At 39.1% G+C, this 20096-nt stretch overlaps 1 protein-coding gene across 15 annotated transcripts in view, besides 3 other annotated features; it reads right to left on the reverse strand.

The window, feature by feature from the left end:
• The window catches only part of COL4A6 (collagen type IV alpha 6 chain), a 283845-nt gene that overhangs the window by 195833 nt on the left and 67916 nt on the right, over positions 1–20096 (reverse strand). The gene's annotated exons all lie outside the window — the stretch shown is intronic.
• Positions 1953–2505: an enhancer, noted in NCBI's record as "NANOG-H3K27ac hESC enhancer chrX:107596629-107597181 (GRCh37/hg19 assembly coordinates)". NCBI's record gives its function as "activates a minimal SCP1, AML or CMV promoter by ChIP-STARR-seq in naive H9 embryonic stem cells {active_cell/tissue: H9 hESC(naive)}" and the evidence as "EXISTENCE:reporter gene assay evidence [ECO:0000049][PMID:30033119]".
• Positions 15122–15661: an enhancer, noted in NCBI's record as "OCT4-NANOG hESC enhancer chrX:107609798-107610337 (GRCh37/hg19 assembly coordinates)". NCBI's record gives its function as "activates a minimal SCP1, AML or CMV promoter by ChIP-STARR-seq in primed H9 embryonic stem cells {active_cell/tissue: H9 hESC(primed)}" and the evidence as "EXISTENCE:reporter gene assay evidence [ECO:0000049][PMID:30033119]".
• Positions 15213–15507: a silencer, noted in NCBI's record as "tiled region #7996; HepG2 Repressive non-DNase unmatched - State 24:Quies". NCBI's record gives its function as "represses a minimal TATA promoter and a strong SV40 promoter by Sharpr-MPRA in HepG2 cells {active_cell/tissue: HepG2}" and the evidence as "EXISTENCE:reporter gene assay evidence [ECO:0000049][PMID:27701403]".

The following is a 20096-nucleotide window of genomic DNA, read 5'->3' on the forward strand; positions in this document are numbered from 1 at the left end:
TGTGTGTGTGTGTGTGTGTGTGTGTGTGTGTATGTGTGTATGCCTGTGTATATCTATGTGTATGTTAGAAGGGTAGCTGGGGAGACCCTCACAGCCACACCTCGAGTGAATACAACCCTGTGATTGCAATCTACTAAGGCACTTGGCTGCATGGCTTCTGTGACTGATTGCACGTGGAAATACCCTCACAAGACTGTACCCTGATTTTAAAGTCAGATGTTTCAAGATTCAACAGGAAGCTTTGCTTGTAGAGGCACAGAAAGAAGGAGACAAAAACAAGAACAATAAAAAGGTTATTTTCAGCTGGGGATAAATAGTGATTTTATGTGAAAAGAAAAAACATCGAAGCTGTATCTCTTCAAGCAGCAAGAAACATAAATTAAACACACACTTCAACATCCACGCATACACACACACCCCACACAGAGGCAAGATAGTGAAACAAGATATCTATATATTCACTGCATGAGGCTTGTAATCAGAGATCATTTCTGCCAGGGAACATACTGGCAGGTAAAATACCCTTTGCAAATTGTCTGGGTAATTGCCATCTTAATACAAAACTTCTTTTTCCCCGATCAATGTGGCAAGGTCTTTGGGACACAGGAATCTTGGTCAGAATACTCTGCCTGCGGCCTTTTCTTTGGAGTCAGGTGAATGCAGGCATTTGGAGAAGTATTTCTGCGGCTGTTGTGAAGTGCGTGTGCACCCAAGTGTTGCTTACCTGCTGTTGCTTCCATTTTATTTCCTCTATCTCCACATAAAAAGAGAAGAACATGCCTGATGCATAAGAAATGAACACTAAAGCTGTGTTGAATGTGAATACAACCCAACATTTTACTCTGTGGAATGTGAATAGCAAAGTCCTCCCCTCAAAAGTGGGCTTTTACATTGCCAGGCAACAAGGAGTCAATGTACTTTGCATGCATATTTCACAGAATCCTAGTGACAAATCTTTGATGAAGGTATCACTGTAATCTCATTTAATGGACAAAGAAACTGTATTCTGAGAGAAATTAACCACAAACAAGTCCCATATGGAGCACTTACTATGTTTCTAGCACTGGGTTGCATGCTAAATATTATCTCATTTAATCCTCACCACATCAGGGCTGAGACTAATACTGGAATATACAGAGGTGTCCCAGGTAGTCCTTTAAAGCTACAGCATAAACCTATACACATCTATGGAACATCAACTTCATCTTAAAACATTATTTTAAATATCCCAACAAACACAATTACATTTTAGAGAAGACTGCAAAATAGGTCTGAATTTTTAAGATAAGGCATGAGAATTACACTTATGGTAGGTGCTTTGGACCATCATGCCATGGTCCTAAGGGATTACGTGCTTACAGCCCTCTGTCATTAGCATTGAGCTATGTATGCCATGCTGCTTCTGGACAAGGTAGCAGGCAATTTTGCCTGTCATCTTATGAGGCTTGACAGAACTTTGGGCTTCCTTGTGGGGATGTCTTAATTGAGGGAATGTATATTTGTTTTCTTTCCTTGTATTAATCCCCCATCAGTGGAATCCCACCATATAGTTTCCTTGGCAACAGAATGACAGGACACTGTTTGATGAGGTGATGGTGAAGGCAACGCCAGCGTGGCTGAGCTATACAGGGTAGTGGTTATAAGAAGAAAAAAAGGCTAGACAAGTTCACTGTCCTCAGTGTTTCTAGGTCTCCATATCTTTCCCCCTAAGGCCTGGGTTCTACTCCTAGAAGCAGTGACAAGCCAGGTCTTCTCAGAAAATCCTTAGTTGTACTCATGTAAATTTCCTTCTCTTTCCCTGATTATTGCTGCCCAAACAATCCTGAAATTCATCTTCTCTTTTTATCATGGAATACAATGAGAAAACAAGCTTCAGTATACAGAACACCTCTTAGCTAGCCTTGCAAGATGGCTGTCATTTCTGCCTCTGGGAGGCATATATGTGACTCAACCTACAGTTCATTTATAATTTTTTCAAATATTTGAATACCTGTATGGGAGGCTTTGTATTAAGCCTCAGGAGGATGAAAAGAAGATTAGGAGAAAAGGCTAAAGGAATTCACAACACCAAAAGATCACTTCCTACTGAGGTAGCATTTAAATGAGCTTTAAAGGATGGGAAGAATTTCATTAGCTAGAGATTATAGGGTGAGGGAGAGGCATTCCAGAGGGAAGGAACAGCATAAGCAAACATTCAGTGGAGGAGGAGGTGGTGGGAAAGATCAAACCAAAAGAGCACAGGGCATATACAGGAAATGCAAGATAAGTACTCCAGGATGTCTGAGATTAGCGTATATTATGGAAGTAGTGGGAAAGTAAGCTAGAAAGATAGATCTTGAAAGGGTTTTAGTGTTAGGCTTAAGGGTTTGATTTTATTCAACTGACAAGGAGGCACCATTAAATGTTTTGATAGAAAGTGATGCTGGCCGAGCGCTGTGGCTCACGCCTGTAATCCTAGCACTTTGGGAGGCTGAGGCAGGTGGATCACTTGAGGTCAGGAGTTCAAGACCAGCCTGGCCAACATGGTGAAACCCTGTCTCTACTAAAAATACAAAAATTAGCTGGGCATGGTGGCATGTGCCTGTAATCCCAGCTATTTGGGAGGCTGAGGCTCAAGAATGGCTTGAACCCGTGTGGCAGAGGTTGCAGTGAGCTGAGATTGCGAGATTGTGCCACTGCACTCCAGCCTGGGTGACAGAGTTAGACTCCATCTCAAAAAAAAAATAAGTGACGCTATGAGAAGAGTAATTTAGAAAGATTAATACAAGGGAGGAGGAAAAGGAAAGAGACCTTGCAGATGAGACAGGTTAAGGTGCTGCACCGGATGCAAAGGGAATGGTAAAATGTGGTCTCTTCCCTCAACAAGCATATACTAAGATAAATTATAACTACCAGACACCACAAAATGTTTCCATGGTGCTCAGTACATTTCTATAAGTGCTTTATTAGATGATACTGATGATAACTTTTTCTTTCCACAAGTCCCATTTTCTGTGGCAACAACTATTACAGGCATAATATAGCCCTGAATTTTGAACCCTGTGACTTGGAACTCTTTCTTCTTTCTTTGTATATCACCTCCTCATTCACAGTAGGGGAAAAGAAAGGCTTCACAACTCTAACCTTTTCCTTAGAATGCAGTTTAAATCCCTCCCCCCCCCCTTTTTTTTTACTTCATTTAGCAAACTAGGCCTTTACCAGGTAGCAAGGCTCGAAGCTGCCATAGTCACTCCTTTCTCACTCCCAAATAACCTGTGCTAATTTCCTGAACAGAGTTCTGAGATTACAAGCAAATATCATTTAGGAAGAAAAACATGTCATCTCTATGGCAACCTGAAAGTCTGACAGGGAACCCACCTTGAAGTCACCAAACAATGGTCTCTTTGAGAAGTATCTAGGGCCTGGGTTAGACAATCTCTTATTAGGTGATTGGCTGTTTTTAGTGTATTTGCTATTCAAACCCTCAAATATAAGTCATAACTCTTGACAACCCTACGTAAGTTGTCTCTTTTCTTTCCACACCTCGTTGATATATGAAGTTGTGATGTTAAAGAAAAAGAGAAGGTTCATTCACAGGGTGGACAATTATTGAGCACCCACTGTGTACAAATCACTGTACTAAGTGCTCTAGAGACATCAAAATAAAAATTACAAAGTCATACCCCTTGAGATGTCCAGATCCATCCAAGGAGACCCAAGGGACAAGAGGAGGGAGTGACTAACACTATCGGGTACCCATTTTGCAAGGACCACTGTAGGAAACACTGGCATTACAGAGATCACATGAATGGGTTTTCCAAGCCAGTTCTAATGACATTCTCAGTGCTGTCTCCACCTAAACTATCAAAAATGTACAAGAAGTTTCCATTTTTATAATCCAAAATATACCATCCAGTAGTTTCTACACCTAGAAGCACACAAATAAAGGTTCTTTGACAGACAAGGTGCACTGGCTTTGGTTCAGAAAATGGAATCACAGTATTTGTTTATTCATTCAATGCATTTCAACTGAACATTGCCACATGCTATTTGGTACAGTGGTGAACAAGGCAGACAAGGTCCCTGGCCCCATGGAGCTTATGTTCTGGTGAAAGTACTCAAATAGTACATAAATAAAAAACTAGATAATTACAGATGGTGGACATGAACAATTAAGGCAATCACAGGGTGATATGACAGAGCCTGGCAGGGAGGGACCTACTTTAGATTGGGTGGACAGGGAATGCCTCCCTGAGGGGATGACATTTGAATGGACACCTGCCTGATGATAAAGAGTCAGCCATGCAAAACTCTTAGGAAAGAAAGTTATAAATTGAGGGAATAACAAATACAAAATAGAAGGAATAACAAAATCAGCAGATAATTAGCAGGCAGATAATAATATTGATTATGTGATAAGCACTTTTCAGATGCTTTACGTAGTGAAGTTATTTAATTCTCATTACAACCTGACAAGGTAGATACTACTAATAACCCCATTTTTCAGAGGAGGAAACTAAGCCAAAGAGAAGCTAAAAAACACCTAAGATTGACAGCTAGTAAATGTCAGGTCAAGGATTGAAACCTAGGCGATCTTGCTTGAAAGTCTTTATCTGCACCCATTAACTCGTCATTTAGCATTAGGTATATCTCCTAATGCTATCCCTTCCCCCTCCCCCCACCCCACAACAGTCCCCAGAGTGTGATGCTCCCCTTCCTGTATCCATGTGTTCTCATTGTTCCATTCCCACCTATGAGTGAGAACATGCGGTGTTTGGTTTTTTGTCCTTGCGATAGTTTACTGAGAATGATGATTAATGGGTACAGCACACCACCATGGCACATGTATACATATGTAACTAACCTGCACATTGTGCATATGTACCCTAAAACTTAAAGTATAATAATAATAAAATAAAATAAAAAAAAGAAAGTCTTTATCTGTCTTAACCATATGGGAGGGGAGGTGTTCAAACAATATAGGAATCTATGTTTAAGAGTTGGAATTTACATAACAAAGGCTGAAAAGTATTGTGAAGCAGCCTAGGAAGATATGGGGCTAAACCAGTAGCTAGGCTCCTAGGAAGTAAATAGGTTTGAAGGGTGAAAAACTCACTTCATATTGAGCCAGATTTGAAACATGGAATTTTGATTTATCAAGTTACCCCTGAGCCCCAAGACTTAAACTTTTCCATAACAGGCAGAAATGTCTGAAAAAAAGGCAGGAAATACCACAGTGTAAGAATATTAGCCCTTCACATAAATGACAATGTAAATCCAAGTTTCTATCACCTACTGAAAGAGTTCTCCAAGAAAAAGTTTAATTAAATGGCTTTAAGATAAGTATGAAGAAACTGGCAACAAGTCATCAATACAGACAGCTCAGGGATGTAATCATCATTCTTTATTTTCCTGGAATTTTTCATCTGTAATATTTATCTATTAGAATAATAAGAGCAGAAGAAGCACATTTCATCTGAAAAAAAAAAGCTAAAAATGCCGGCAGACATTAATTCATCATCCTCATGATACAACAACAAAGAGTAGAAAACTCTATTCCATGCATTTAAAGTAGAAAAAAGAAATGTTTCGAACCCTAAATGCTTTTTATTTATATTACCTCTTTCTAGGCTGTTCTCTATTCCTTTTTAGCAGTTTGGTTTTTCTAGTATTACCTTCTCAACATACATACATATATACAAACAGACAAATATAGATAATTCACTCAGTGAATGCTTACAATGATGGGTAGAGAGCTTGAAAATACACAGGACTGAGACAAGAGAGAAAAGGAATGTTAGAGCTAGAAGACTTCTGGCAGAGTCTTATCATTATACACACTGGGAACAAGACTATGCATGATTCCCCAAACCTGTTACTGATAAGTCTAAGCCTTCTCTGCTTACTATTTCACAGTCCCTAGACCAGAGCTAGGTGGCTTGTCAGTAAAGGCATGAAATGGTTTGACTCCATCTCAGCTTTGGCCCTAAAATACCACTCCAACCTGGAATTTGATAAAATTCTGCTTACACCCTGGCCTCAGTTTCCCCACCTGACAAACACTGAGGTAAGACAGTGATAACACATAGATAGATGGTCACTCTTAAAAAAACTGCTTCTGTGATTTCTCATTACCTTGTAGAACTGAATCCAACTTCCTTACCATGGCATACGTGTCCCTCCATGCTGATTCTCTGAACTTCTCTTGTCACTTCCACCAATCTCCCTTTACACTACACACTACACATTCCCCTCTTTCACCCCTTGCCTTTTGTGTACGATATTACTTTGCCCAGTATGCCTTTTTCTTCTTCTCCTTGCTTCTCCCTCTCCCCCTTCTCTTGGATAACTCCAACTTGACACTTCTTCTTGGAGGACTTTTGGGAGAGTAACTCTAGCAGTTACGTATATGTTGTCCTAGAATAGGGATGGCTTGGGACTGGGAACCCAGATAGGAAGGCATTTTATAGTCTTGTAACCCTTATAACACATCATCGGCCTGTTAAAATCAGTTGTAAGCTATATCCAAATAATTTGTTACAAATAATTGCTAAAGTACCAAAGTTTGCCAAGAGTTGAAAGCAGATTCAAGGTTATTCTTGTATAATATCATTAGCCCTCAGGCTTCCCAAGAAGTCTTGCCTGACACCTTCCCCAAAACGTAGGGTGCCCCAGATGCACACAGCACCCCTGGTGCTGCACAGCACTTAGAACTCAGCATAGGAACTGTAATTTTCCTCTTCTGTCTCCCCTATCAGACTACAAATTATTTGACAGCATGGACAGTATATTATCCATTTCTGTATTTCCAATACCAGGCACAGCTGTAGGCATTTTACTGAATGGAAGCATGAACACTGACAGGTAAAGTAACTAAGAAAATAGTAAGAATTCTTTTGAGGACTAGTATGGCTCTACCTTGCTTTAGCTATAACGTCTAAGAAGACCTAAGTTCAAGGATAATGACTTTTTTTTTTTTTTTTTGAGACAGAGTCTCACTACTCTGTTGCCCAGGCTGGAGTGTAGTGGCACAATCTGGGCTCACTACAACTTCTGCCTCCTGGGTTCAAGCAATTCTCCTGCCTCAGCCTCCCGAGTAGCTGGGACCACAGGCGTGAGCCACTGCACCTGGCTAATTTTTGTATTTTTATTAGAGATGGGGTTTCTTCACGTTGGCCAGGCTGGTCTCGAACTCCTGAACTCAGGTGATCTGCCCTCCTCAGCCTCCCAGAGTGCTGGGATTATAGGCGTGAGCCACCGTGCCTGGCTGATAATGACTTTTAAAAATTTTTCTCTTCCCATTCTATTGGTTATGATATAACTGAATTTTTTTTAACTTCAGAAGACTGCAGACATAATAAAGCAAAGGCTTTCTTCAGCAGTCTTTTCTTTTGAATTCTGTCTATAAGCTGGCAACATAACATAAGGTAAGGTATGGGTACAATAAGGTGGCTGAAATGGAAAGCTAGGAGTCCTGATCCTTTCTAGAGGGTGGTGCTTCTGGAGCAGGCATGAGGGAGAGGGAGTACATCGAAAAGAGCTTCAGAGTCCTAGGGACCGGATCTGCACTAGAGATAAGTAGTTTGAATATGGTTCAAGACAGAGCTGAATTCCAAACCATTCTGAAAGCAGATCTGTCCATAGTGTTCAAAAGATATTATCTCCAAGTCCTTGCCAATCAGTTATTCTCTCCCTTTCTTGTATCATCAACCTTTTATTCTCCACTGGCTCCTTCTCCACCTCGTAAAAAATGTGAAAGTCTCCTACATCATTTTATTTTATCCTCAAGCCAATCCCATGTGGTAGGCCATATCATTATCCTCATTTTATAAATTAGACAATTGAGGGCCAAAGAATAAGTAAATTACCGAAGGCCACACAGCTAATCAGTGACGGGAGCTAAGACTCTAATCCAGATCTGTCTGACACCAAAGTCCTTGTTTTTAATCATTCTGCTAATATTGCCTTCTTATCTAATTCAGGCAAGCTGCAATTGCAGGTATTTTTCCTATTATCCTGTCTTGCAAGGTAATGAAGGATAACTGTCTACACTATTCCTGTAATACTCTTTCCTGTACCAGGAGATTCATGATTATGTCTATCTCTGGTCATTTCTTCTTAAAATTAAATACAGGTGGTTTGGTGTTTAGACTCTATTTAGCAGATCTTTAATTAAATCAGCCAAAACTTATTAAGTGCCTACTAGGTGCCTACTTTGTGTTTCAGGACTCAATACAAACAAGTTCTTGGCTTGAAGTGGGAACAATGTATCAATGCAGAATTCAAGACAGTGGGGGACAGGTGTGAGTGAGCAAATATATGGTATTCATTTTAAATGCTTATATGTTCAGGAAAGTTAAAGTATAGGGGCTGCCATAATTTGCCTTTAGGAAGTATAAGTTTCAGGGTAATACCGCCTACATAACATATTTGCAGTTAAAGAAATAAAGAAGTTCCGTGTACATTTCTTACTTGTGTAGAGTCAACAGATGTGATCCAGAATGGCTATATTCTGAGTAGCTGCTAGAAGACTGGACACAGCTGGACAAAAGTCATTAACCTTGGAAGAGAAGTAATTCTAAGTACACCAACAGCTGTGTTGATCATATTTGGAGGCAACCAGATGTTTTGGTCTGTGCAGTACTACCAACTAATCTTCTTACCCAACTGCTAAATAATCCGAAACTCCAGGGATCTATCCAGTTTTCCTTCATCTCAATGGCTGAGGTCCCCACATAATTTCATTCTTGTCAATATCCAACTATGAGTCTTCCTTTTCCATTCTGTTCAACTATGACTCTCCTCAAACATGAAGTTATCAACTAAACAATTAATCCAGTATTTACTATGCAAAAGGTGCTGTTGGGAATACAAGGACACATTATATAAAGAAGCATTGGGTTCTGTCTTTCAGGAGCTTACAAACTGATAATATTTGGGAGACAAGAATGACTCACTTGAGAAGATTACCAGAATTTACTTCCCCAAACTATGACATGCCACATGAGAATGCAGAGAGGAGTACAGGATTTCAGAAAAAGGAGTAGAGAGATTGATGTTTTGCGATTAGTATAGTCAGGGCAGTTTCATGAGAGTTGACACTTTAACCTTTTTTTTTTTTTTTTTTTGAGATGAAGTCTTGCTCTTGTCACTCAGGTTGGAGTGCAATGGCACAATCTCGGCTCACTGCAACCTCCGCCTCCCGGGCTCAAGCCATTCTCCTGCCTCAGCCTCCCGAGTAGCTGGGATTACAGGCACCTGCCACCATGCCCAGCTTTTTTTTTGTATTTTTAGTAGAGACAGGTTTTCACTATGTTGGCCAAGCTGGTCTCGAACTCCTGACCTCGTGATCTGCCCACCTCGGCCTCCCAAAGTGCTGGGATTACAGGTGTGAGCTACCGCACCCGGCCAACACTTTAACCTTTGAAGGACCGGGGGTTTTCTTTTAAGAAGTGGAGTCATTTTATAAGCAAGGAGGAATGGGAATGATTCATTAGAGTGAAGAGTAAGTCTGGGAAATTAGCGTGGGGCAGATCAGGGAAGGCTGTGTTCCCTGTAAAGAGTCTGACTATCATCTTAGAGGAGGCTGGAAGTCAGAGCTATCATGATGATAGTCTACAGGATATTGCAAACATCGATTTACCATTTTTAATTTTGTGGAAACCAGTCCCCATGACCCCTCCATGCAATATTTAATTATTCTTCTGCTATCATTTTTAATTCTGTTTTCAAGGATTTTTTTCCCTCTGGTTGATGAAAATATATATTTATGGTATGAACCCTCAGCTCTAAGGCCTTCATCCCTTAGCAGTCACAACCTGGACAGTCACTAATGTCTATCACATTGCACTCAGCTTAATTAACTGCACAAATAGATTACTTCCCCAATACAAAAGTTATCTGGAGAGAGAAATAAAAGGATAGGGAGGGAAGCTATGAAAAGCAGAAGCCAGAAGACAAATTTATCTGACTCAGGAAGCCATACTGGTTATCATAACAATAACAAATATTTATAGAGGGCTTTCATCCTGAAGAATCCCAGAGCCTCAGAGCAATGAACACTTGTGGTAAATAGATTAAAGGAACTACTCAGCCATCCAAGAGAGGAAGCCCTCTCTCCTAGGCCCAGTGCACTAAGTCATCCCTGGGACAACATTCGATTTTAGCCAAGGGATTTTAAAGGAAGCTGAATGGAACTTCCAAGTCATAAAACGTGGACAGTATACATAAAGAACAACCCAGAATCTTTTCACAAGAGAGAGCCTGGGAGCAACAGGCATGCCCATAGTCATCTTAAGTCTCATGTATTAAGATCACCACAGCTTCTGAGGCCAGTGAAACCTCACTGATTTGAGATAAAAGGAGTCATAAATACCATCAGATGTTGTTGTATATCTTGAAACTACAGATTTATCACAAACACACACTTCTAAATTAATTAACTCTGTAAGTATTTAGAGCATATATTAGAGGAGAAAAAGGGCTTACAATCTCATCAGAAATTCAAGGCACACTATTAATAATGTAACGTATATTGTTCTGGTTCCATTCCTAGATCTAACATTAAGTAGCTATATGAACTTGGACAAGTCATTTGGCATCTCTAGATCTCAATTCCATCAAACTAGTTTGTGTGTGTGTGTGTGTGTGTGTGTGAGAGAGAGAAAGAGAGAGAGAGACAGAGAGACAGAGACAGAGACAGAGAGAGCACGTGTGCTCAAGAGAATAGAAAGTGAAATAACATACCATCCATATTACTCTAATAACTATTTTGCCTGCCTGTAGGGAGTGGTCACAGGTCATTTGGCTCCAGGCCAAAAGGAATACAATCTATTAGACAGCTTGGATCTTTCCTCTTACAATAAGTTTAACAAAACATTTTAAAAAAAGGAGTAGGTTACAAGAAGGTAGAACTTGAACAGATGGGTAAAATGTTAATACATGATCATGGGCATGTTGATATATAAACTGGATCACAGGCATGTTGATGTGTACTCATAGGGATAAACTGGGCTGTAAAGGTCGCCTAGTCCACTTCTTTTCAAGTGATTCCAGGGAACATCAAGGTTCCTTGGGAACATCTCAAGATCCACCCAAGGGTCCATGAGGGCTGGGCTCCCAATCCAAAAATGTCCTTTTAAAAAGCATTCAGCCTATGTTGAAATAACTGCAGTTACTGGGTACTCCTTCCCTCTCAAGGTGGCCTATTTATTGGTCCTTTGGAGAACTCAGACTATTAGACAGCTTTTCCTTATATTGAATTAAAATTTATTTCCTAGAGCTTCAACCTATTGATCCTAGCTCTAGTCCTGTGCCAATGTAGAACACGGTAAATCCCTTTTCCCCATGACAGCCCTTCAAATATTTAAACACAGCTAACCTGTCCAGGAGTCTTTTCTCCAGTCTCAACAGCCCCACTTTCTTCACCTGTGCCCTCATGTCCTAAGCCACTCTCTTCTGGACACAACTCAGTTGCTTTACATATGTGCTAAACCTCATGCCCCAGAGCCATCCTTAAACTTTGAGGTATGATCTACCCTTGAGTGCAGAAGAATTCAAGACAATGAAGTCTCCTGGTCTAGATACTGTGCTATTTTTACTTCTATTTATGCAATGTGAGATTACAGTAGCTCAAAACAAGGATGGAACTGCTAAAACTCAGAGTGGCTGAGGAGAATTGCACTAGCACACGAGAGAGTGGACTGTATGTAGCTGGAGGTGATGTGTGTCGTACTGGAAGGGGCAAACACAAAGCAAGATTATTATCTGGTAGGAATATTATAGAGGAGGTTTGGTGAGGTAAAAGCGATACTACTTCCACATTTCCTTTGAGCCTTGAAATTCCATGATTCTATGAATCAATTGGCATTCTACAATTGCTCATAAATCTCTATATGTGGACCTCTTCAGAGCTTCCTCAAAAGTTGAGTCAGTAAATTCCTGCAAAGAATCTAGTGGGCATTTAGTAATATAATACCACATTTGCCCTGGTGGTTTCATACAAGATTCCTCAAATAGGAAAGCAGGTTATAAAAATAAAAAGTAGCAGGGGCGTATTTTCAGCCCCCAAACACAGGTATAACTTGTCCCCAAATTACACCACTAGTAAGTAGAAGAGCATGGCTTGGAAGTTGGTTGTCCAGACCCCTAAGCACAATTGTTTTTCTTCACAGCTGCAAGTTTATAACAAAACCATGTGCATGTACTTCTGCCTTCACTTTCCAGAAACTCACAGGCCTGCTACCTGTAAAGGGGGATTTCAAAGATTCTTCACTTATATCAGACATTCTGTCTGGGTTTGGATGACGTAATAACCTGCATTTTATTCAGATCAATTTGTTCTGAGGCTTTGCAGTTGTGCTTTGATTTTGCCATTCTGATAGGGAAGTCTCTTAATTAAGTTATGCATAGTTAGGCATATTTCCCTCTCTCATCACAGTAGCCCCCCACCTTTTTTTTTCTTGAGAGGGCGTCTTGCTCTGTCACCCAGGCTGGAGTGCAGTGGTGCGATCTTGGCTCATTGCAAACCTCTGCCTTCTGGGTTCAAACGATTCTCACACCTCAGCCTTCTGAGTGGCTGGGATTACAGGTGTGTGCCACCACACCCTAATTTTTTTTGTATTATTTGTAGAGATGGGGTTTCGCCACATTGGCCAGGCTGATCTTGAACTCCTGTCCTCAAGTGATCTGCTCATCCAGGGCTCCCAAAGTGCTGGGATTACAGGTGTGAGCCACCACGACTGGCCCACAGTAGCCTCTTAACAAGCTTCATTTCAGAGTAAATTAAAGAACACTTTGCCTACAACCTTGAGAAGAACCTTTTATCTCCTTCCACAATCTATTCAAGAAAGTTTTATTGAGCACCTGCTATGAGATAATAGATCTGAAAATCACCGAGAACTCCCCATTGTCTAATGAAAGGAAAAAAACCAACCTAAGTTCCTTATTGTGGTAAGTGTTACATAGGACATGTTTAATGTGACTTTTGGCTTAATTTTTTTTAATTTTTAATTTTTATTTGTATAAATTTAAGGGGTACAAGTGCAGTTTTGTTACATGGATATATTGCAGAGTGGTGAAGTCTGGGCTTTTAGTGTATTCATCACACGAACAATGTGCATTGTACCCATTAAATAGTTTTACATCACCCACTCCCCTCCCACCTTTCTGAGTCTCAAATGTCTATCATTCCACACTCTAGGTTCATGTGTACACATTTTTCAGCTCTCACTTATAAATGAGAACGTGTGGTACTTGACTTCCTGAGTTGTTTCACTCGGGATAATGGCCTCCAGTTCCATTCATGTTGCTACAAAAGACATTATTGCATTATTTTTATGGTTGAATAGTATTCCATTGTATACCACTTTTTTCTGGTTGAATAGTATTCCATTAATTACCACATTTTCTTCATCTAATCATCTGCTAATGGACGCTTAGGTTGATTCCATATCTTGGCTATGGTGAATAGTGCTGGAATATCCCAGCCTAATTTTGAGCCTTATTTCTAGCCACCCAGACTTCCCCTGCCCCAGAACACACACATATTCCATGATGTCACCACACCTAATGACTCAACATTCCCTAAACATAAAACATAGTATGTATTTAGTGTGTATGTGCGCATGCTCTTCCCTCTGTATGGGAGACCCCTGTCTACCTGAGGGTTCGTACTCAACTTCCAAATTCAACTCTAATTTCTTTCTGTAACCTTTTCTACTTCTTCATTTCCCAAATCAATCACTCAACTGCACTCCCAAGGCAATACTATTACAGCATTAACAAATGTAAATTTACTTGCTTATGGTCATATGTATTTTTACTAGACCCAAAATAAGAGGTTTTGTCTCAGCTATCCTCAAATTCCCAACAACTAGTGCTGTGTCTGAAATAAGAGTAATGTTTATAAAATATTGAAGGATAGATGAAAGGAAGGAAGCAATGAAATAAGCAAGAAAGCAATTTCTCCATTTCTTAGACCTTGAGTCCCTTTAGGGTAGGCACTACATCTTACTCATTTTTTTGTACCCACAGTGGCTTAAACACAGAAGACCCATAATAAACCTCTGTGGTATTGAAAGTAGGTAAAAAAATTTCTTAAACACAAAATCAGTAAATATATAGCTGCCTCCCAAGTGCCTACAATCTCAAAGTTGAAAACAATAGTTTTCAGTAGCAAGACAGACACTGCTAAATGCCCTAAAAGTCCAGAGAAGGGAGAAGCGAATGTGGGCTGGAAAGCACTTCTCAAACTCTATGTGCCAAGAAATCATTTGGGGAATTTGTTAAAATGCAGAAGCTGATTCAGTAAGTCTGGGCAAGACCTGAAGATCTGCATTTCTAATAGTCAGGTGTGAGGATCATATTTTGAGTAGTGATGAAGGTGTAGAAAGCCTTCTTGGAGGGGGCACTTCTTAAGCTAGGTGCACTTCCAAGTTGCTTTAGTTAGATGGAAAGGACAACCTAAGCAAGAAGAAGAGCATAAGTAAAGTAACAAAAGCAGGAAAAAGAGTATCTCCAGGAGAGTAAGAAAACCACAGAAATGGAGCAGAGGGGTCTAATAAAGGCATAATTAGTGATAATTCTAGAGAGGTTAGGTGGGATCAGATTATTAGCTGCATCAAAAAGTCTTCTGAGGAGTTTGGACTTTATATTGTACATTCTTAAGCAAGAACTTGATGTATCATTCTCATACCTTATATTGGTATAGAAATGTCCAGTTCATGAGACATATTTTTCCTATGTATTTGCCACCTGATCCTCCCAACAACCCTCTGAGTTGGGCCAGGTGTTTTGTTTTCATCCCCATTTTACACGATGAGGAAACTGAGGCTCCACAGAAGTGAATTTACTTTTCTCAAGGTTATCCAAATTTGGATTAGAGGCGGTACCAAAACCAATTTTTATCACTACCACTGCAAAGTGATTTTGCATCACATCATGTTGAGATTGCCCCTTTAAACCAGAGGGTCCTGAAAAGGGGCACTTATGAAATTATCTTCACATTATTCCAATCTTCTCTTTAACTGCAGCTCATTATCTGGTTAAGGAAAATCTGCTTTCAGAATTATAATTCTCTGACCCAAAAGGCTATTAATTTCTTTCTATTTAGTCATTGAGGGGTTTCTCCCTGCCCCCTACCATTCTCACTGTATGTTAAAGAAGAATGAAATTACTGGAGTAAAAATGTGGGGTGGCACCTGCTAATATATTTCATTTAGGAAAATTAAATGGAACCAGTTCCAATCTCTAAATGATAGCATCAAACTCTGCTCCCTGAGGCCTTGCTATTGTAGTTTCACTTGCCATGCACCTTTTATTTATATCTCCCAGCCTGGAGAGCTGATCACTCTGATATTGCCTATTGTGACCCTATAGGAGTCTATTGTTCCCCAAATTCCCTTCTTTACAGATTCTTTTTTGGAGATCTGCAGGGCTATGGGACTAATAGTGTATGACATCAGTGTCATTCTTTCTTTTCAGTTGCAAACAATGTGTTTGGCCACATTGGAATTAAGTGGGTTAAAATTCCATCAAAGCAGCTCAGGAATTAGAAAATACTTTTTCTAGAAAGGAGAAGAGGGATAGACTTAATTTGAAGCTCTACGGAACTCAGATCATGAAACAAGTGTTAGAAATCTAGCAGGTTCTCAACCAGTGTTTCAAACCTGATTAATTTCTATCAAATCTGATGAAAGTTCAGAGAATATCAAATTGAGTTTGTGTTTATTTCATTACTAATTATGTAGGCAAAAAAATATACTGGCTGTGTGGCCTTGGGCTAGTGCCTTAACTTCTCTGAACCTCAAATATCATTATCTGATAATGAGATGATGAATTGTGCCTATTTCATAGGATTACTGTGAGGATTAAATGGTATAATGTACAAAAGGTACTTTGTGCACTGTCTGGTCCCAGAGTAGGTGCTCAGTAAATGGTGGCTGGTGTTCTCTCACTCACTCTTACACTTACTCTGAAAAGAGCACAAAGGTAAGCTTGGAAGTACCTGCAGAACATACCCTCGTGTCTTAAAGACAGGAACCTGGAGAAGCTGTTATCTATGTGACAAATTGTAATTATATAGAGCCAAAGCAGATCTTTTGGGTCAGTGATCTTTCTGGACTGAGGCCCACGATGAGAGGAAATGCATTTTACATAGTTTTACAAAACAATTATTTCCAGAAAACAACTGGAAATTTTCATTCTATTCTATTTCAATCTTGTCCATTCCATTCTATTGCATAGGAAACAAATGTTGGTCAGGATCCATATAATTGATTTTTTCAAAATGGGTTTCAACCTTCAGATTGAAAAAATACTAATTTACATGTTTCCAAGCTCCATTTTCATCAACCAAGAAAGGAAACAATTATCAGTACTACTATCTCGATTTACTGGTCCTACACATCCTTCGGATATTAGCTGGAATGCTTCTCCCTGATGTCATCAGTCTAGATCTTATTCCCTTGTTATTTGTTGCCATGTGACCATGCTCCTTTTCTTCAGAGCATTTATAACAGTTGATAATTATATACTTATTTGTCATTTTAAAATTTAATATGTATCTAAGGTCCATGAGAACAGAAACTTTGTTTTTTTTTTTCATTAGTATATTTTTCCATCTAGCCCAGCCCAGCACCTAGCACATAAGTACTTTATATATATAGTCATATGTCTCTTAACCACCATGGTGCCTTCTGAGAAATGTGTTGTTAGGCAATTTCATTTAGGTTTATACAAACCTAAATGGTATAGCTTACTATCTATATACCTAGGCTATATGATATAGCCTATTACTCCTAGGCTACAAACCCATATAGCAGTAAGTGAATTCTGCAGGCAATTATAAAACAATGTAAGTATTTGTTATCCAAACATATCAAAACCTAGAAAAGGCACTGTAAAAATATGGTATAAAAGATTTAAAAAATTATATCCCTGTCTAGGGCACTTACCATGAATGGAGCTTGCAGGACTAGAAGTTGTTCTGGGTGAGTGGGTAAGTGAGTGGTGAGTGAATGTGAGGGCCTAGGGTATTACAGTACACTACTGTAGGCTTCATAAACACTACACCACTGCTATGATGTTACAATGGCTATAACTGTACACTTAGGCTACTCTAACTGTATAAAATAATTTTCTTTCTTCAATAATAAGTTAACTTTATCTTACTCTATTTTACTTTATATAATTCTAATATTTTAGACTTTTGAATATTTTATAGTAACACTTAGCTTAAAACACACACTGTACAGCTGTACAAAAATATGTTTTTCTTTATATTATTCTATAAGTTTTTTTATTGCTAAAATATTTTATTTTGTTAATTTTTAAAATTTTCTGTTAAAAACACAGGCACAAACACACACATTAGCCTAGGCTTACACAGGGTCAGGATCATCAACATCACTTTCTTCCACCTCCACATCTCATCCTAGTGGGTGTTTGGGGGCAATAACACACATGGAGCTATCACCTCCTATGATAACAATGCCTTCTCCTAGAACACTTTCTGAAGGACCTGTCAGAGGCTGTTTTACAGTAAACTTTTTTGTTTCAGAAGTAGATGGAGTACACTTTACAATAATGATAATAGTATAGTAAATACGAAAACCAGTAATAGTAGTTTATAATTATTACCAAGTATCATGGCTGTACATAATTATATGTGTTATACTTTTATACAACTGGCAGTGCAATAGCTTTGTTTACACCAACATCATGACCAACACATAAAGAATGTGTTCTGCTATGATGTTACAATGGGTATAATGTCACTAGGCAACAGGAAATTTTCAGCTCCATTATAATCTTATAGGACTACCATCGTACATGTGGTTCACTGTTGACCAAAATGTCATTATGTAGTGCATGACTGTATATATTGAATGAATGAAAGAATAAACTAATAAATGAATGAATAAAGGTGTTCATAAACCCAAATGTAAACCTGGACAGTTCAACCTACCATGAAATAATTTGTTGGCTTTGCTTTCCAAAGTGAAAGATATGAGGAGGTTCTGTTAAAAACTGTCTCCTCCAGAAGACTCTAAGCTCCATGACTGCTAGGATCATGTCTGGTTTGCTCCCCATTGCAACCCAGAACTATCACTGTACCTAGCAAACAGCAAATCCTTAAAACGTTTTTGGATTAATAATAAACAAAAACAAAATAATAAACATACAGGTGGGACCTCTGGAGTATTTCCAAATTTCATGAAAGGTTTCCAGGTGAACCTAAGGATTGCAAATGGTCTGACACATTAAGTCTTTAGCAGTACGCATATCACAGATTGTCAGAGGAGGAAGGGACCTTACACATCAATCAGAGGTTAGCAAACTATTTCTGTAAAGGGCCAAACAGTAAATGTTTTTGTCTTTGCAGGCAATATAGTCTTTGTCACAACTTCTCAACTCTGCTGTTGCAGGGGGAAAGCAACCACAGATATTAGTTAAATGAATAGAGTGGCTGTGTTCCAATAAAACTTTATTTATAAAAACAGGTGGCCGACTGGATTTGGCTGCAGTTTGCTGACTCTAACTCTAATCCAATCTTAACTCCCATAACAAAGAGGGACCATTTCCCCAGAAGGGGGAAATAACATTGTTGAAGATCACACAGCTAAAAGATGAAAGTGGGAACTTCCAACTCCCATTTTAATTTTCATGACACTACAAAGCAGCCATGTTTCAGGGTCTTCCTGCTTCAGTGTTGGTGTTAGCATTATCCTGCCTTGTTTATTGAAGCTAAGAGACATTATCTTAAATTTGGTTTGTGTTGATGGTTTTTCATTTTTACTTTTTATTCTGTCATCCATGTAGTCTAAAAACCTTGGGGGTGATCATCTTCACAGAGAGAATATACAACTCCCTTTATTTTCTTCAAGTACCTGGAGCTCTGCCTCCTCACAAATTCAGAGATGGTATGTACTAGGTTCTCTTAGGCAAAATGTTCTGACTTCTTGGTACTAAGGACCGGATGGAGAAATAGGAGGTGAGATCCCTGTCATATCATGTCCTACCATATACCTTAATCAACTCTCTCATCAATCATTCAGTCGTAGGGATTTGCTACTGTATATGCAGCACTAAGCTGGAGTTTGGAGAAAAGGAATGGTAATGATGAGATAACAGCTAACTTTTTTGAGGTCTGACTATACATCAAGGACATTATATATAGCTTCTCTAAAACCTCAACACAGTGCTTTAAGGAAGGATTAGATAGACCAAATTGCTATAATTGCAACCCGATTTGGTCCACATCCAAACTCTGGGCTGCTGCTGTCTCTACTACTGCTGCTGTTCTTAAGGCCAGAGATTCCTGAACACCCTTCTAAGGATTAGAGGTGGAGAAATTAAAGCTCCTAGCCCAGCGTCCAGCACATAGTATGTGTTGTTATTACTTACCAATCTCCCTTACATAATCACCTGCAGACACATATTAATGTGTCTTCAACCTCAATAAACACTCTTTGAATAAACGATGGCCTTCCACACCACTGTGCCTTTGTATGGTCCATCCATTCTTCCTGGAATGTTGCCCACCAATGTCCTGTGCTCTACCAAGACTTAGCTCAAATGTCACCTCTTCTGTGACATTTTCCTGATACCTTTGGAGAAATGGAACCAGTTTCTCCTCCATGCTTTCCTCAGAACTTTGTTCAAACCTCTATTCTTGGATCTAGTAAAGCATCTGTTCTCTGGTTTATCACATTCACTACGAACTCTACTGAGACAGGGTCTGTCTTATTGATTTCCTTTTTAAAATAACATCTATTGTGTTTTTTTTAATATAGAAAAGCATCAAAAAGAAAAAAAAGAATGATAATTCATCTTCCAGAAACCCCCTTTGGCCTTTAAAAAAGCAATATATGAACATGGTAAGAAAATTCAAACTGTACAAAAAAGTACAAAACAAAAATTAAAAGTCTCCCACTAGCTGACAGCCCAGAAGAAACCTTTGATAACCAGTTTCTTGCATATTCCACCAGCAAACATTTGCACATATATATTAGAACTTATATATGTATTGTAGCTTATTAAAACATTAAAAAAATTCTAAACACAACTGTATATACTTTAATTTTCACTTGAGTGAGACCAGGAGTTTGAGATCA

Source organism: Homo sapiens, chromosome X (genome assembly GCF_000001405.40).
Source record: "Homo sapiens chromosome X, GRCh38.p14 Primary Assembly".
Classification (NCBI taxonomy): Eukaryota; Metazoa; Chordata; class Mammalia; order Primates; family Hominidae; genus Homo; species Homo sapiens.